Source organism: Homo sapiens, chromosome 10, assembly GCF_000001405.40.
Source record: "Homo sapiens chromosome 10, GRCh38.p14 Primary Assembly".
Classification (NCBI taxonomy): Eukaryota; Metazoa; Chordata; class Mammalia; order Primates; family Hominidae; genus Homo; species Homo sapiens.
Genome location: NC_000010.11, coordinates 19,817,986 through 19,835,121, shown reverse-complemented (window position 1 = coordinate 19,835,121; position 17,136 = coordinate 19,817,986). Strand labels below are relative to the sequence as shown.

Sequence of the window (17,136 nt, the reverse complement as noted above, 5' to 3'; positions counted from 1 at the left end):
GCCTGCTCTTGCCCAACAGGCAAGGGCAGTTCCCTGAAGATTTCACAGTTCTCTGCCCCAGGATTGTTCTCTCTGTTCAGGATGCCTTTCCATCATCTCTGCCCTCCTGCCACTCACACTTCAAATGCAGACCCAGACATACCTCCCTAGGAAGCCTTCCCTGACTCTCTAGGCTAAGACCTATGCTCCCATTTCTCAATGCCATAGTGAATGCACCCACTCTCTCTCTCACACACATATATACACACATCACATTTTCTTACAATTGTCCTTTTTACTTCATGGTAACCTCTACCTGGCAAAGGCTGTATTTTGTATCCCTTCACATCACAATGCTAGGCGCATAGGATACATCTAGCAAATGTTTGTATAGTGAATAAATAATTCTTCTCAGAGCTAAACCTCACTATCAACCCCAACCTAACAGCATATTAATGTCACTTTAATTCAGTCATCTCAGTCCTTTCGAAACAATTACATCTTGAGCCAATTTTGTTTAGTTTATAGGCTAATCCAATTAGATAATTTGGGAAGCTTGAAAAGTTACTAATGTCTGATAATATTAACAAACAGTCTATTGCCAGATGTGTATTGAAATGGTGGCATAGGTGGTATACAGATAGTGTAGCAAATGGGATATTGATTCGGTCCTCAGAGACCCCAACCTCTTTCTTGAGCAGTTTTCTCTCAGCCCCTTTTTGGTATATCTGTCCCTTTGCCTTTGTTAACCCCTGTCTCTTCACAGACACACACAGACACACACACACTCTCTCTCTCTCTCTCTCTCTCTCTACCTCTCTCTTTCTCTGTGATTTTGTGCTGTTCTTGATCTAACCAGGGGCCTTGCCAAAGGCTTCCTTTCCCAGTCCATTGAAACCTGGACACTATACCTGTCTTTTTAGCACACCTGTTCTAGGTTTCAAATGCAGAAGATATGGATGACCATTCCTCCTCCTTGCAATATTTCACATTTTCCAAGATATATTAACTAAACCCAAATAAATGACTCTGTAAGTTAATGACAACCTGCAAGTTCATGCAGGAACAAGGACTGGTTCCATTGCTTTCAAATAACACCATGAAGACGTCCACTTCTATTGCCCATATGTTTAGGGCTAGACTCAACCAAAACACTAAAGGCCTCCATACAGTTCTGGAGAAAAAAAAAAAAAAAGCAAAATATGAAATGCCCAGGAAACTCTGAACTCTGAATGCTTTTTAAAGATTTGTATGCATTTTTTATTTTGACATTTCTTATCTTCTATTCATTGATGCAATCTTAGAACAGGTGTCTTTTTCTTACACATAGATTGCTTACCTTTTCGATTAATTCACTAACACACAGGTAGCATTTTGGATTCCTTTATACACAGAGCATCATTATCCAAAAAAAGTTAACTTATCATCCAAGGGAATTGTGTAATCTCCTAAGGTGGTTTATTTATCCCTAGAAACAAGTACATTAATAAGGTCAAAGTATTTTCTTGCTTCAAAGTAGATGACGCGGCAGAATTTCGCTTAGTGTCCTCAGCCCATGCCAAGAAAAGAAAACTGTTTCTGAGACCCTCATCTCATTTTACACAACATGAGTTTGTTAAAAAATAAACTCCTTGAGTGTTCTTTTAACGCACCTTTTATTGGAATAATGTTTTCCACATCCAGATCTGGCCCTAGGCTATCAATGAGTGAGTGGGAGGGTTGTGAATAAGAGAAAAGCTTTGCATTCCAGCAGGCAGCCATGCAAGTCTGAGCCTGCTGGAGGTGCAGTCGGCACTTCTAGTTAATTGCAGCACTGCTGCAATTTACTGTTCCCACGGCCATCAAAGGCTCTCATTGGCCTGAATTTTTCCCAGACCTGCAACAGTAGCACTGCACTTGACTATCATTAGACCGAAGGTGATATGGTTTTATGTCTGGTACTTTGAAATATAGATTCATCAATAACCAACACTTAATGAGATTAAGTAAAGTTTTCAGAGAAAATTCCATGCCTTGCCCTGCCCTTTTTTGTCTCTGCCTCTGACATCCTTAACTTCCCACTTCCAACTTCCTTATTTTTTCTACTGAAACCCACCAAACATTCAGAGAACAGACATTTTTGACAACAGTTATTATGACTAGAGAGATGAGTAATTTTACTGCTGTGTTACAGATGAAGAAATGGAGGTTCGAGAGTTAATATTTTTTCCCAAGGTCAAAATGGCAACGAGGAAATTTCAGAGCCAAGATTTGGACTCAAGCCCATCTGGCGTCAAAAGCGTCCTTTTAGCAACCACAAGACAATCGAATGTTGTCTTCCCTGGAGAACTTTCCCACCACACACACCTCCGCGGGACTCTTCCCCGGCTCCCTTGTGCAACCACAAGTATTGGTTTGTCCCTCGCACTGTATCCATGTTATACACATGCACATAGCCTCTTGTAAATCACACCCCTTATATATAGAAACCATGTCTTTTTCTATCTCACACAGTGAATTAAAAAATTCGATTGACAGTAGAAACATCTTCCAACTGAAGTTACCCTGGTGGAGGAAAAGGTTAACTAATATAAAAATTATGCAAATTGAACTTTACAAAGATATTTCAAATTATATCATGAAATGTCATATGTTTTAAGCACACATCACACAGACATGTGTAACATGTATCATCTCCAACTTATGTATAAAGAATATGAGATATAATGGCTAGGTTTTCAATTAACCTACAACAGTCTATTTTATTTCTAATAAGTGCATTCATGCATTCCTCCGTGTTTCTTTTTAATTACTGATGAGTTATTGAGTAAATGAATGGAAAGATAAATGAGTCAATGCATTTATTAGATGCAAGATAGACCTTTGTGGGCTATTCAATAAGTCAGTCAACAATTTTTAAATTAAGAGCCTACTACATGCTAGGTGCTATGTCTGAAGCATAGTTATACTATTTTTGTTTTGTTTTTAAATTTTTTAAATTCTGGAGAACCCCAATAAACAAAAGTATTAAATAAACAACATCAATAAGCATTGGCTATGGAGCACTTATGAATAAATGAAAAATAATAAATGAATAAACGAAAAACCCATTTGTTTGATGGGTTTTTGCCTCTTATTTCTGGGTGCAGATTATTGGACTAACAAAAACTATGATATGTCATCCATGAAAGAGTTAAAGCTCTGGGTGTATATGCAGTAAAGGGATTGCTGGGTCAAAAACATAAATCATTCTACCATAAAGACACATGCATGCAGACATGCATTGCAGTACTATTTACAATAGCAAAGATGTGGAATCAACCTAAATGTACATCAGTGATGGACTGAATGAAGAAAATATGATACCTATACACTAGGGAATATTATGCAGCCACAAAAAAGAATGAGATCATATCCTTTGCAGGAAAAGGGATGGAGGACATTATCCTTAGCAAAGTAATGCACGAACAGAAAACCAAATATCACATGTTCTTACTTATAAGTGGGAGCTAAACGATGAGAACACATGGGCACAAAGAGAACAACAGACACTGGGGTCTATCTGAGGGCGGAGAGTGGGAGGAGTGAGAGGAGCAGAAAAAATAACTATTGGGTACTAAGCTTACTACCTGGGTGACAAAATAATCTGTACAGCAAACCCCTGTGGCACAAGCTTACCTAAATAACAAACCTTCACATGTACCCCTCAGCCTAAAATAAAAGTTAAAAAAACAAAAAAGAGTTAAAGCCTTCCCTTTCATGGTTTCCCACTGCCTAGAAAGTTCATCTATACCCATAGGAAAAATAAAATGAGGACAGGAACTGCTAGCCAAATAAAGGAAGACAGTAAGTGAAACACCAAGAAAGATGAGAAAAATAAGACCCAGGTACAAGAATTGAATATGTAATATCAGAATGGGATAAAAAAATCACCCAAGAAAACCAACAGAGAAGAAAGAATATATCACAGTCACAGCTTATGACTTATCTGATGAATGCCACTGGACATCTGAGATTTGAATCATTTTAATGGTCATTGATAATATGCCCTATCAAATGAAAATTATGCAGAAAAGTTCATTAAGTATTTATTAATTGCCTTCTATATACCAAGCACTATGAAAGGTGCCAAGAAAACAAACAAGCAAAAAAACAAACAAAAAAAAAAAGGAAACAAACCTGGTTCCTACCCTCATAGAGCTTACAATTTAGTGGGAAGAAGAGTCCTCAATTGAATACTTACACAAATAGCAATATAATTAAACACTTTGATGGATTTCTCAAGACTCTTTCAGCAGCAAGTAACAAATCCCAGCTCAAAATCAGAATTTCCTGCTTTATCACATTGGGCAGTCCAAGATTGCCTATGGATGGCTCTAGACTTTTATCTTCCCAATGCAACAACTCCCAGGAAAAAAAAAAACCTTCTCTTTTCCGGAGCATAGTTAGAGAAAGACCAGTTAGCCTGAGGTCCAGGGGTGAAGATACACTCTGCATGGCCACTTTTGAGACACAAGCTGATCACAGGAAATATGCCACTATTAAAAGAAACCCAGGAGAACAACATAGAGTGGGGAGAGGACATTCCTAAATAATGGGAGGGTGCTGTTACCAAAGGATGGGGGAAAGAGATACTGAGGAGATAGAAATATCAGATGTTCACACCATACCATGAGTATGGAAGAGAGGAAGAACTCTGGAGAATGTTTCAAGAAAAACAGTAAAAGCCAAGGTAAGAAAAAAATGTGCTCTGAGTATAAGAGAAACAAACTGTTGATTACATGGTAGATGCTGACCTGAACGGATTAAAACGTCAGCAAGTGGATCACATTAAGACTGTGAAAAGAGTTAACTCAAGTCCCTGAGTGTGGTACTAAGAGATTGTATTGATTCTTTTGTTGAAAAATATTTAAAAGGCTACCAAGTGATCTGTATCTGAAAAATCTCTTAAATATCTATTTCCCAGGGGGTGTTTCCCAGTTGGACTCCTTTGCCTTGAGATAGGTGGAAAGCTATTTATGCAAATTTCATGGCTCTATCTCTAATTTCTATTTCACTCATTGTTTACCCATATATCATTTTTAACTATGGAATTCTCTCCAGAGAAGCAAATTAACAGATTTTAATATTTTATCAGACAATTCAAGTTGTGGGTTACAAATTAGAGAGGATTAAAATCTTGTCCTTTCACAGCCTTTGAAATGTTATTCAGATTTACAAAGCTCAGAAATTTAAAACTACTCTTGATAACACCGATTAAAGTATCCCTTTCTCTGTTCTTGCTAGCTTAGTATATGACTGGACAATTTGTAAATCATCCTTTGTAAATGAGTTCTCAGTTCTTCACAAATATATATGACAAATTATCTTACTTTGCAGTCACTCCATCTCTACCTTCTCTGTACATTTTGACTTTTTTTTTAAATTTTTACTTTTGATATGGAGTCTCACTCTGTTGCCTAGGCTGGAGTGCAGTGGCATGATCTCGGCTCACTGCAACCTCCACCTTTTGGGTTCCAGTGATTCTCATGCCACAGCCTCCGAGTAGCTGGGACTACAGGTGCCCGCCACCACGTCTGGCTAATTTTTTGTATTTTTAGTAGAGGCCTTCCAAAGTGCTGAGATTATAGGCATGAGCCCCCGTGCCTGGCCTGTCGTTGATACTTTAACCCAGGACATCACATTACAGAAATTGTAACTTAGAAATTTTGCTCAAAGAAACATGTGGTAAGAAAGTATCAACAAAACTCTTTGCATGAGTGATAAACCTGAACAAACACAGCACCATTTATAAAAGTGGAACGCTAACAAGCATCCTACAGCAAATTTTCAGAGAGCTTCCTATGCTTGGAGCTAGGGAGGCACTGGAGAATGAGTCACAGAAGGCAGTTTATAGTCAAATGCAGGCACAAGTAATTACTATTGATGATCAGTGAAACGATAAAGACATCAAGGCTAAGTGGAGATCTGAAGGACAAAAAGCCAAAAAAAAAAAAAAAAAAAAAAAAAGAGGAAAGCGTGCACCAAAAAGAGGTAAAAGCACGTGCACAATTTCAGAACAGAGACAATGTACGGGGATCCTGGGGAAGGACAGAAAGTGCTGAACTTGAACCTGAAGAGGTCAAACAGGACCAGATACCTTCAGCATGAGAGCAACGGAAAGGCACAGGAGTGGTTCCAACAGAGGAGGGACACAGTCAGATTTGCATTTTAGAAAGATCTTTCTGGCTGTGGAATGAAGAATGGGTTCCAGCAGGGCAACTTTGGAGGTAAGGTGGGAAGCCTTTGCAGTCAGCCAGGCTAGAAAGGCCAGGCCTGTTGAAGACAGAACAATAGAACTGGGGGCTGGAGAAAAGCCATCTGAAGTCAAACAAAAGTCCTTGGCTTAAAAAAAAAATCAGCTTCTTATTGGCCATGCCTATTTTCAAACACCTCTTCTAAAAACAGCTTGACAAAACTGAGATTGCACCAATCTGGCTTCCTGCATGGAGCTGTTTTGCAATGTCCAGACAATGAGACTGTCATGTGCAGAATGACTTTAAATCTTGCTTGTTTTTAAAAATATCTGAAATGAACAACAGATGTTAAAAAGATAAAGAAGGCTAAACAACCAAGAAATAAAACAAGCTGCCTGGCTTTTCCATGTACTCCTGATTAAAAAATACTCAGATCACCAAGCCTGACTTCAGAGCCGTAGCCAGTCATGGACTGTGCTGAGCTGGAGGTGGAGTTCACATTTTCAAATCAAACAACAAAATTGTACCCCTCTCCTTTGCAAATGCCTGTAGTCTAAATAAAATAATAAATTCTATTGTCTATGGAGGGGTAGCAACTTGCAAACTGTACTCTCATTCAAAGTAAATCTCCAATGGGATCGAAATGAATCAGCTAGTGAGCCATTGTTAAGGAGGATCCTAAAGCTTGGAGATTTTACCTTTCTTTCCAAAGCTGTTTCTTAGGATGCAGCAAACTTAAGACAAAGTCTTGATTGGAGCGTTGCTGGTCCAGAGATAAGATGCGAAGAGGCACATTGCGAAAATATCATCATGTCCATGTGTTATTTGAGTTGAGCTCACTCCTCCATCGTGATAGTTCCTAAGAAGCCAGGTATTAACATTTCCTTCCCTTAACTGAGTTGTTCATTTTAATTAAACTATCATTCCCCATTTGTTTCCTAGGAAACAATTAGATGTATGGTTAGTCTGATGATGTGATAAGAAAACCTCCCCAGCTCTCCATCTGGAAATTTCATTTCAACTAAAAAAGGTCACAGTCAAATAGTCACTATTAACAATTTGTTATGATGGCTGGGCGCGGTGGCTCATGTCTGTAATCCCAGCACTTTGGGAGGCCAAAATGGGTGGATCACTTGAGGTCAGGAGTTGGAGACCAGCTTGGCCAACATGGTGAAACCCCATCTCTACTAAAAATACACAAATTAGCCGGGTGTGGTGGCGCGCCTGTAGTTGCAGCTATTTGGGAGACTGAGGCAGGAAAATCACTTGAACCCGGGAGGTGGAGGTTGCAGTGAGCCAAGATCGTGCCACTGCACTCCAGCCTGGGCAACAAAGTGAGACTCTGTCTTAAAAAAAAAAAAAAGAAAAAGAAAAAGAAAATTGTTATGAAGCCCTGTGGTACTTGTTCTGGCCATTGGATGTTGTAGAAAAGAAATTACGTAGTCTCCCAGTTGTTTAGAAATTGAATTATTTACAAAATGACCCAGAGACTTCATAAGATTGCAATCAAAAGCCCAAGAGTTTGTAGCAAAATCTGAAATGTTTATTCTAAAATGGCTCTGGAAAAGGAAAGAACCTCCTGAAATAGCCAGCTTCTGAAGAGCAAGAACAAGGAGGACCGGTTTGTCCCATCAGATATAAAGACTTATTATAAAGCTACAGTAATTAAGACTGTGTATCAGTACAAGGATAATTATGGGTTCCCCCACCCCCTTTATCTTCAAAGTGGATTATCTCAGCAGGGCTTATTTCAGGATTTATCTTTTTGGAGTAGCCCTTTCACAAACCCAATAACCCAGAAATTCTAGCTCTAAATATAAGCCAAGCATCTCCTGCATGTAAACAGGAAAAGACGTTTGCAAGGATGTTCCTACCCTCACATTCACAAGAGCACTAATTATCCATGGATGGAAAACTGAATAAATCAGTTGTGGACCAGCAGATTACAATTAAGACCAACACAAGTAGATGCAGTTGCTAAAAACAAAACAGCAAGTGATGTGATTTATTACACAACTCAGTCTCCACCAAAATTGTTTCACAACATACCCATCAGTATTTTGCAAGTCTTTCCATATTAACAAACGCGACCACAAGATTCTGATACAGGAGCTATATTTACTCACACTTCACGTAAAACAAAAGGTTTTCATAAAATTCATTCAGTTTGAACAAAAAAACCACCTTTTTTAAAGCTACATAAAAACTTTAAAGCCAAGTTATGAATCAAAGTAGGTACAACTGTACATTATACAAGATATATAATATCCTATGCTAGTTTAACAAAACCAGCATATGAAAATAAAGCACTGAGCAATATCTTTGTAATATAGCAAGAATGCTCTCAAACTAAAATGTGAAATAAAATTTGTTTTAACCTCACAAGTCAACTTGATTTTCACAGGGCATCCACAGTTTTCAAAGTATTAAAATATTCTTCAAATTTTTCTTGTATGACAAAAAAACTAAAATGACCCTCCTGTTTCTGCTCCAAACAAGCACCAAGAAAAAAAGTGCAAAGACACAGTGGTATGTCTCTTAGTTCAATTTTTGTTTCCTGGAATTAGCAAATTAAAGGGCTAAATGACAACAACAAAAAATTCAAAGGTGTATATTCCCAGGACCTATATAAATAGTAAATAGAATTAAAATGGCTAATATCAGAAGCAATAATTCTTGAAAGAATTATGGACAGGCAGTACATTTTGGGCAATCTTAAACATAAAACTACGGACTGGCAAAATAATTAGGAGGTTGAATGTTTTTAAATTAAAAGTTCAGGACAGCATTCCTTGAAATCACAGGAACCCATATCCACTAAGAACATGACTCAGTTTGCCAAAAATTATTTCATATATACTTTTCATTGGGATATTTTGCAATGCAGATTGCATTTATGTAATTTATATATAGACATTTTTCAATGAATTGAAGAGAAAAGATAGCAAAAGGAGAAGGAGAAGAGAAAGCCAAAAGGAGAAGTCAGCTGAAATACCAGACTTGCTCCCGCCAGCTATGCCCACAGGAAGGTGAGTGGGCCCTTTTGACCAGACAAATGAACAAAAAGACAGCATATAAATAACCAGGTTCATTAGGTCAGCGGTAGCTACAGTCTAAGTTTGTATGTTGGAAAGAATTCAGCAAATAGATATAATAGATTCAGCATGAGCAGTACCTGAAATGTACCTTAAATACTTTCCCATCTTAAAACTCATCATTATTGGTACATTTCATGCTCTAAATGATAAATTCTGCCTGTCCTACTTCCCTTTTAGGCTTTAGGGAAATAAATATTTTATTGGATGTTCATATAATGGTTTCAGACAGAAAATGGTAGGAGTTACTACTGTAAGCAGTTGCTACTGTAAGCAGATATCTGTAACTACTACCCAAAAAACATTATCGAATGTTCAATGTTCCATATTCCAGCTGGACCCAAGAATACAGTATCCTAAGCAAAATGAACCAGAGTGTACTTACCAAGCATCATACTCAAAGAGAATATATCAGTTTTATTTAGACTTTTTGTATCACTGAACACTCCAAGGAATACATAGAGAATTGACTTTCAAATATTCGGATTCCTATGCAGTTTTTCCATAGGGCAAACTCTTAACATTCTCTCCATATTCTCAAAGCCTCAATGAGCTACACACCTTACCTACAGGACGAGACCTCGAACAACATGGATTCTAAGGAAAATGTCCAATTATTGAGTAAAAAATAATTGAGGAACTGAGTAATAAGATTCCAGACAAGTAAAAAGGAAGTCAGTCTGCATCTTGGCCTGTGACCCTCTCTTGACAAAATTCACAGACCACTAACTATGATAAGGCCTCAAGCAGAAAGAGTGAGGACAGCCTATTTTAATTTGAAGGGTAAGGTAAAGGTACCAGCGCTTAGATCTGGTTTGATGGCCTCTGACAGAAGAGATTTAAAAGTCTGGATATCCAGTAACGTCACTTAGTGTCTGACCCCATGTTCAGATCTGTAATCCTTAACAGGCTAATTCCAAACAGGCCCCTGACAAGACCTCTAATTCTATTTAAATATACAAATCTATACCATCATTCCACAGCTTACCACCTTTTTAATTAAAAAGAGGAAAATAAAACCAAACAATAAATATGAAATGAGTTCACTGTCTGGTTATAAACACATGTGGAATATTTTATATTCTCATCTTTTGTCAGCTATTATCCTGTTAATGTATAACACAATAAATAGTGGAAGAAACTTTCTTAATAAAAGCATCACTACTTAGCCTGTCATTCTCTAGTAACTTCCTCAGCTTAACAGAATCATTGTGTGGGAGGCAGTGAGGGAAGATATCCTGTGTGAACTCAGTGAAGAAAGACCTCTCAGAATGGAGTACTCTACAGAGATAATTACAGCTTTGGGAAAATGTGCTCAGAATAAAGCCAAAGGGCTGGAATTCATCAGATTAAGAGAAAGTGGAAAGCAACTTAGTGATACACAACCTTATGTATTATGGCGATTCAATTTTATTTGCTTTTTTCCCATCTCCAAAACAAATACCAAACAAGATTTTAAGTGAGAAAAGGTAGAAAAGGTAAGATGAAGACATAGGTAAGCTAGCACACAAATGTAGGCCAGAAGGTTTATATGCTTGTTGGAGGTGGGCCACAAATCTTGCACTGAGATTTCAAGAAACCAAAAGTTAAATGGTAAAACTCCTAGGTACTATTTATAATGTCCAGAAGACACAAACAAGTTCAAAAGAACTATGTCTGTTATTGAAACATAAGGTCTCTCACCCTGTCTCTGTCTCTTTCTCTTTCTCATTTTCTCATGGCATAATATCTTGGGGAGCAGACACCGTGAAATGTATTGCAGAATATCCTCATCTGCTTCCCTGTAACAGCTCCCACAGCAAGATTTTTTATTATTTTACTTTTTGAGACAGGGTCACACTCTGTTGGCCAGGCTGGAATGCAGTGGTGTAATCACAGCTCATTGCAGCCCTGACCTCCTGGGTTCAAGTGATCCTCCCACCTCAGCCTACCAAGTAGCTGGGACTACAGGTGTGCACCACCATGAACAGCTAATTAAAAACAAAACAAAACAAAACAAAAAAACTGTAGAGATGAGGTCTCTTCCCTATGTTGCCCAGGCTGGTCTCCAAATCGTGGACTCAAGCAATCCCCCTGTCTCGGCCTCCCAAAGTGTTGGGATTACAGGTGTGAGCCACTGAACCTCACCTCAAAACAAGTTTTATGAGAATTTTTTTTTTTTTGAGATGAAGTCTTGCTCTGTCGCCCAGCTGGAGTGCAGTGGCGCAATCTCAACCTCCACCTCCCGGGTCAAGCGATTCTCCTGCCTCAGCCTCCTGAGTAGCTGGGACTACAGGTGCATGCCACCATGCCTGGCTAATTTTTTTTATTTTTAGGGAAGACGGGGTTTCACCATGTTGGCCAGGATGGTCTTGATCTCCTGACCTCTTGATCTACCCACCTCCACCTCCCAAAAAAGTGCTGGGATCACAGGTGTGAGCCACCACGCCCAGCCGAGACAATATTTTTACAGCCTCCTTCATTATAGTTTAGTGACATGAGGCCTAAAACAGTTTAATTCAAAAAGAATCCCACAAAGAACCAAAATTATTTAATAGTCTTCATCTTCAGTGAAATGAAACACCACCACCACCATATATGTATGCATATGTACATATATATGTATATCATATTTTAAGATATTAAATTAAAAGCATAAGTAAACATCCCAGCACTTTGGGAGGCTGAGGTGGGTTGATCACGAGGTCAGGAGATCGAGACCATCCTGGCTAACACAGTGAAACCCCGTCTCTACTAAAAAATACAAAAAATTAGCTGGGCGTGGTGGCGGGTGCCTGTAGTCCCAGCTACTTGGGAAGCTGAGGCAGGAGAATGGCGTGAACCTGGGAGGCGGTGCTTGCAGTGAGCTGAGATCGCGCCACTGCACTCCAGACTGGGAGAAACAGCGAGACTCTGTCTCAAAAAAAAAAAGTAAGTAAACATCCAGAAAGAAACTAGCAGTATAGGAAAATAGTGGAATAAACTTTTTGAAAGTCCTATCTATCAACAGAAGGCTTAATGTAAATAACTGATATTAAAATAGGCAAAGTGCCTAAAAAAGACATTTCTCCAAAGAAGACAAAAAAAATGGCCAACAGGCATATGACATGGTCCTCAACATCACTAATCATTAGGGAAATACAAATCAAAATCACAATAAGGTATCATCTCACACCTACTAATATTAAGATGGCTATTGTCAAAAAGACAATAGATAGTAAGTGTGGGTGAGGATGTGGAGAAAAGGCAACCCTTATACACTGTTGGTGGGAATGTAAATTGGTAGAGCCATAAAAAGAACAATATGAAGTTGCTTCAAAAAATCAAAAATAAAACCACCATATGAGCTAGCAACCTCTCTTCTGTATATATACCTGAAGAAAATAAAACCAGAGCCTTTAAGAGGTATCTTCACTCCCATGTTAATTGAAGCATTATTCACAATAGCCAAGATATGACAACAACCTGAGTGTCCATTGATGAATAACTGGATATATATTCCACATACATTGCATATGTAGTGCATATACATTCCATATATAGTGCATATATATTATATATATTGCATATATAGTGCATATATTATATATATTGCATATATAGGGCATTTATATTATATATTGCATATGTAGTGCATATATATTATATATAGTGCATATATACTATATAGTGCATATATAGTGTATATACATTATATATTGCATATATAGTGCATATATATGCACAATGGAATATTATTTAGCTTTAAAAAAGAAGATCTTGCTATTTGTGATAGCATGGATGAATCTGGGGGACATTGTGCTAAGTAAAATAATTCAGACACGGAAATACAAATGCAATTTGCTTTCTCTTATACATAGAATAAGAAAATAAACAAGCATCATGTTGCACAGCTTAAATACATATTATTAAAAATGAAAACAAAGAATTTTTTTTAAAGGAATGTATAAAAGAAAAAAGATATGAGATTAAGAACATGAGTGAACATTCACTCAGAAACCAGCAGGATAGAAGAATGGTCGAATGAATTTTTTGAAAGTCCCACCTAATAGTAGAAGGATAGTTTAGCAGACTTCTGGATCTTATGCTTTGGTTTCAACAGTTACTCTCCAAAGTTCGTTTTAAATTTATTTCTATCCTAGGGATGGACAAAGTCTTAGCATGGGAATTATTTAAAAAGTCTCCCAACGTGGCATTCAAATTAATAATTCAGCTTGAACTATAGTTCTAGTCAGTTCAGTTCAGTCCAACAACCATTTATTGCAACTATTTATTGGTTGTTGCCACAGCAGATTCAGAAATAAATGACAACAGACCCTGACCTCAGGAATGTATGGTCTAGTCTAATAGAATACATGAGAGAGAGGTAGAAATGGAAAGAAAAGGAAACCCTACAATATCAAGCAAGTGCCTTTGAAGAAGGCATAAAGTGCACTGAGAATTCTAAGACAACACGTCCTTTTGTGGAGAGTGTCACTTGAGATAAATCTGCAGGAAAAATTGGAAAATGGATGGATGGAGACGCACTTAGAGAAGGAAGAGCAGGAGGAATGGCAGAAGTGGTAATGCATGGTACACACTCAGGGAACTTCAGCAGCTCATCTGGTGAGAGCTTTCAAGAACAGGCAGGGGAGAGAGGGTGGGAAAGTGCTTGAGGCCACAGGCAATGGCCTTGAAGACCATGGAGAAGAGACTGTATTAATGTGAGGAGAAAGTAGCTGAAGACTTCATTTATTTATTTGTTTGTTTACTTATTTTTATTTTTATTTTGAGGCAGGGTCTCCCTTTGTCGCCCATCCAGGCTGGAGTGCAATGGTGCAATCTCGGCTCGCTGCTATCTCCGCCTCCTGGGTTCAAGTGATTCTCCTGCCTCATCCTCCCAAGTATAGCCAGGATTATAGGGGTCTACCACCACACACGGCTAATTTTTGTATTTTTAGTAGAGGCGGGGTTTCACCATGCTGGCCAGGCTGGTCTGGAACTCCTCACCTCAGGTGATCCGCCCACCTCGGCCTCCCAAAGTGCTGGGATTACAGGCATGAGCTGCCGTGCCCAGCCTGCAGCTGAAGACTTTAGATCCCATGATCAAGGCTGTTGATCAACTCATTCCTCTTTAAAAACATAATGTTTCTGCAATAGGAGATAGCTTTTAGGAAAAAATGACAAAACTAATTGATAAGGACACATATTTTCTTTTCTTTTTTTTTTTTTTTGAGACGGAGTCTCGCTCTGTCGCCCAGGCCGGACTGCGGACTGCAGTGGCGCAATCTCGGCTCACTGCAAGCTCCGCTTCCCGGGTTCCCGCCATTCTCCTGCCTCAGCCTCCCGAGTAGCTGGGACTACAGGCGCCCGCCACCGCGCCCGGCTAATTTTTTTTTGTATTTTTAGTAGAGACGGGGTCTCACCTTGTTAGCCAGGATGGTCTCGATCTCCTGACCTCATGATCCACCCGCCTCGGCCTCCCAAAGTGCTGGGATTACAGGCGTGAGCCACCGCGCCCGGCCGGACACATATTTTCTACATACTCTGTGAGTATCTGATGCTTACAGTGAAGAAACCTGTCTGGAGCAAAATTATTATCTTTCATTATTAAGTTTTATTCAAATACATTCTCCCTGACAAGAGTTTATTTCTGAAGATCACACTGAAATGTGCAAATTCTCCTGATTATAATAATTCCAAACCTCTAGGCAGACATCCATGAACAACAACAACAAAAATTACCTTTGATATAAATGTTCTACACTACAATTATGTCTCAGTCCAAACTTACCCAACCTCAAGCTCCAAAACTTGTATCTGTTCTCTAAAGGAAAAAGAAACTCATATTTCATATTTTTAAAATTTTGCAGGTAGCCTCAAGTCATTGATTGATAAAATAATCAACCTGTCTTTTGTCCAACAATATGACAGATGTCCATTTTACAATAAATGTTCACTTGAATTAACCCCTCTATTATATCACTGTGCTCTAGGTTTATATGTAAACAGAAACTTTAGTGATTATGTCTCAACAGCAACACTCTCATAACAAACTCTACAAATGAGTAATATTTCAAAGTAAATTGTTTAACTCCAACAAAAGCAGGAAATAACAGAAAAATATTCAACCAGAGAAGAACAACTAAAATAAGTGTAAATTATATGATAAACATAAACTACTTCCCTCTAAAACAGAAAAGGGAATAATAGAGGAAATTAGCAGTTTATCTGCCCTCTGGTGGCAATGAAATCAACTGCAGCATTTACTAAAGTAACGCATAATAAAATGTCCCTGTTATGAAATCAGATGTTGTTCCTGTGCCAACATGTCTGTAATAAAGATCCTGATTGTTGCATGACAAACGTCAAGACTGCTGGACTTTTCCCCCCATACTGAATTTTTATATAGACTATTTTACAAATAAAGTTGTATACTTTTTTCTGTTTCACCTTGCTTTTTTTATATATTCAGTAAGCTAACCATTTAATTACAATATTTTTTTCATAAAACTACATGTAAATGATGTCCAGGAAAGAAGCTACTTCTGTTTATAAAAGTCTTCGAAAATTTGGCAAGGAATTTAAAACCATTCTTTTAAAAATCAATCCTATCAATATATGGGTTTCTAGAGTATATTTCCCATCAGAAATATTCAACTAGCTTAAAATACCAGTACACTGATGTTGAACATTTTAAGTATTTTATATTTCCCACAGCAAGGGCTTTTAATTATATGGCCAATCTTACTTTGGGATGAATTTCATCCTCAATTTCTGAACTTCTTGGCATAGCAAATGTGTGTGTATTGTGTGTGTGTGTGTGTGTGTGTGTGTGTGTGTATACATATATTCTTTTTTCAGTAACGTTACTGGAACAGGTTTATAAAAAGATAAACATTTGCTGGCATTTATTTTTTTTTCCTTTACTGCAAATGCATTATTTATTCCTAGTGCCAAAGAAGTTTTTAAATAAACAACTTGGGATGCACATTGGCACACACATCCTTTTAACCTCGTTTGTGGTGGAGTTAATTGTTTTTATTAAGCATCTATTCATACCGTGAATAAGTACATGAAAATTACTGTTGCAATTTTTAAATAACTGTGTCCTTTCCTGGAAGGCTAAAAGTGTTATTTTTTCGGACCAATGAAACGTATCAGAGAAATAAACAAAAGGCATAGTCTACTGTCATAAATCATACACAGTCAAGAACAACCTATGTCCATTAATGCAGAACAATTAAATGTGACAAAGACAAGTCAACACCCAAGAAATCTGCATTTTGTTCTCAGCTTTAAAAGTGTTGTCATCCTATTGCCTCCCTGCACATACACCCCAACACACACACCCCTTCAACCATAAATAAGAGCGCAGAGTCAGTATCTGTGCTTTATCTAGAACAGTTTACACCAGGGACAGGCGAAGTGTTGTGACTGTCTTCTAAGTCGCGGCTTGGTAAATTTCACTCAAGGGTTTCCTTCAAGATCTTCAAGATTCACCTTGCCTGGAATCCCCAGGTGTCCCCCAACCTTCCATCTGTGACTCTCTAGTTGACTGTTGAGGACGCATGCATACTTTCCGGGCAATCATTTAAATTACACACACACACACACACACACACACACACACACACACACACACACCAGAAAAGAACAAATTGACAAATTGATTATCCTAGGGAGAAAGTTTTCGTTTTCTTTTCTTTTCCCTCCAAGTTTTTTCTTTTTTCTTTTTCTCTCGTTTCACCTCCTCTCGAAGTCCACCCTAGTTCACCAATTTCTGCCAAGATCTCTTTCTGCCTGTGTCTTCACTTTCTTCACTGAAAGGCAGAAATGGGGAGTAGGCACCCAGTTCGCGGTGGGCAGGGTTCCAGGAGGCAGCTCCC

At 38.2% G+C, this 17,136-nt stretch overlaps 1 protein-coding gene across 3 annotated transcripts in view; it reads right to left on the bottom strand.

Moving 5' to 3' along the window:
• PLXDC2 (plexin domain containing 2) overlaps positions 1-17,136 on the bottom strand; it is a 473,425-nt gene that overhangs the window by 454,735 nt on the left and 1,554 nt on the right. The gene's annotated exons all lie outside the window — the stretch shown is intronic.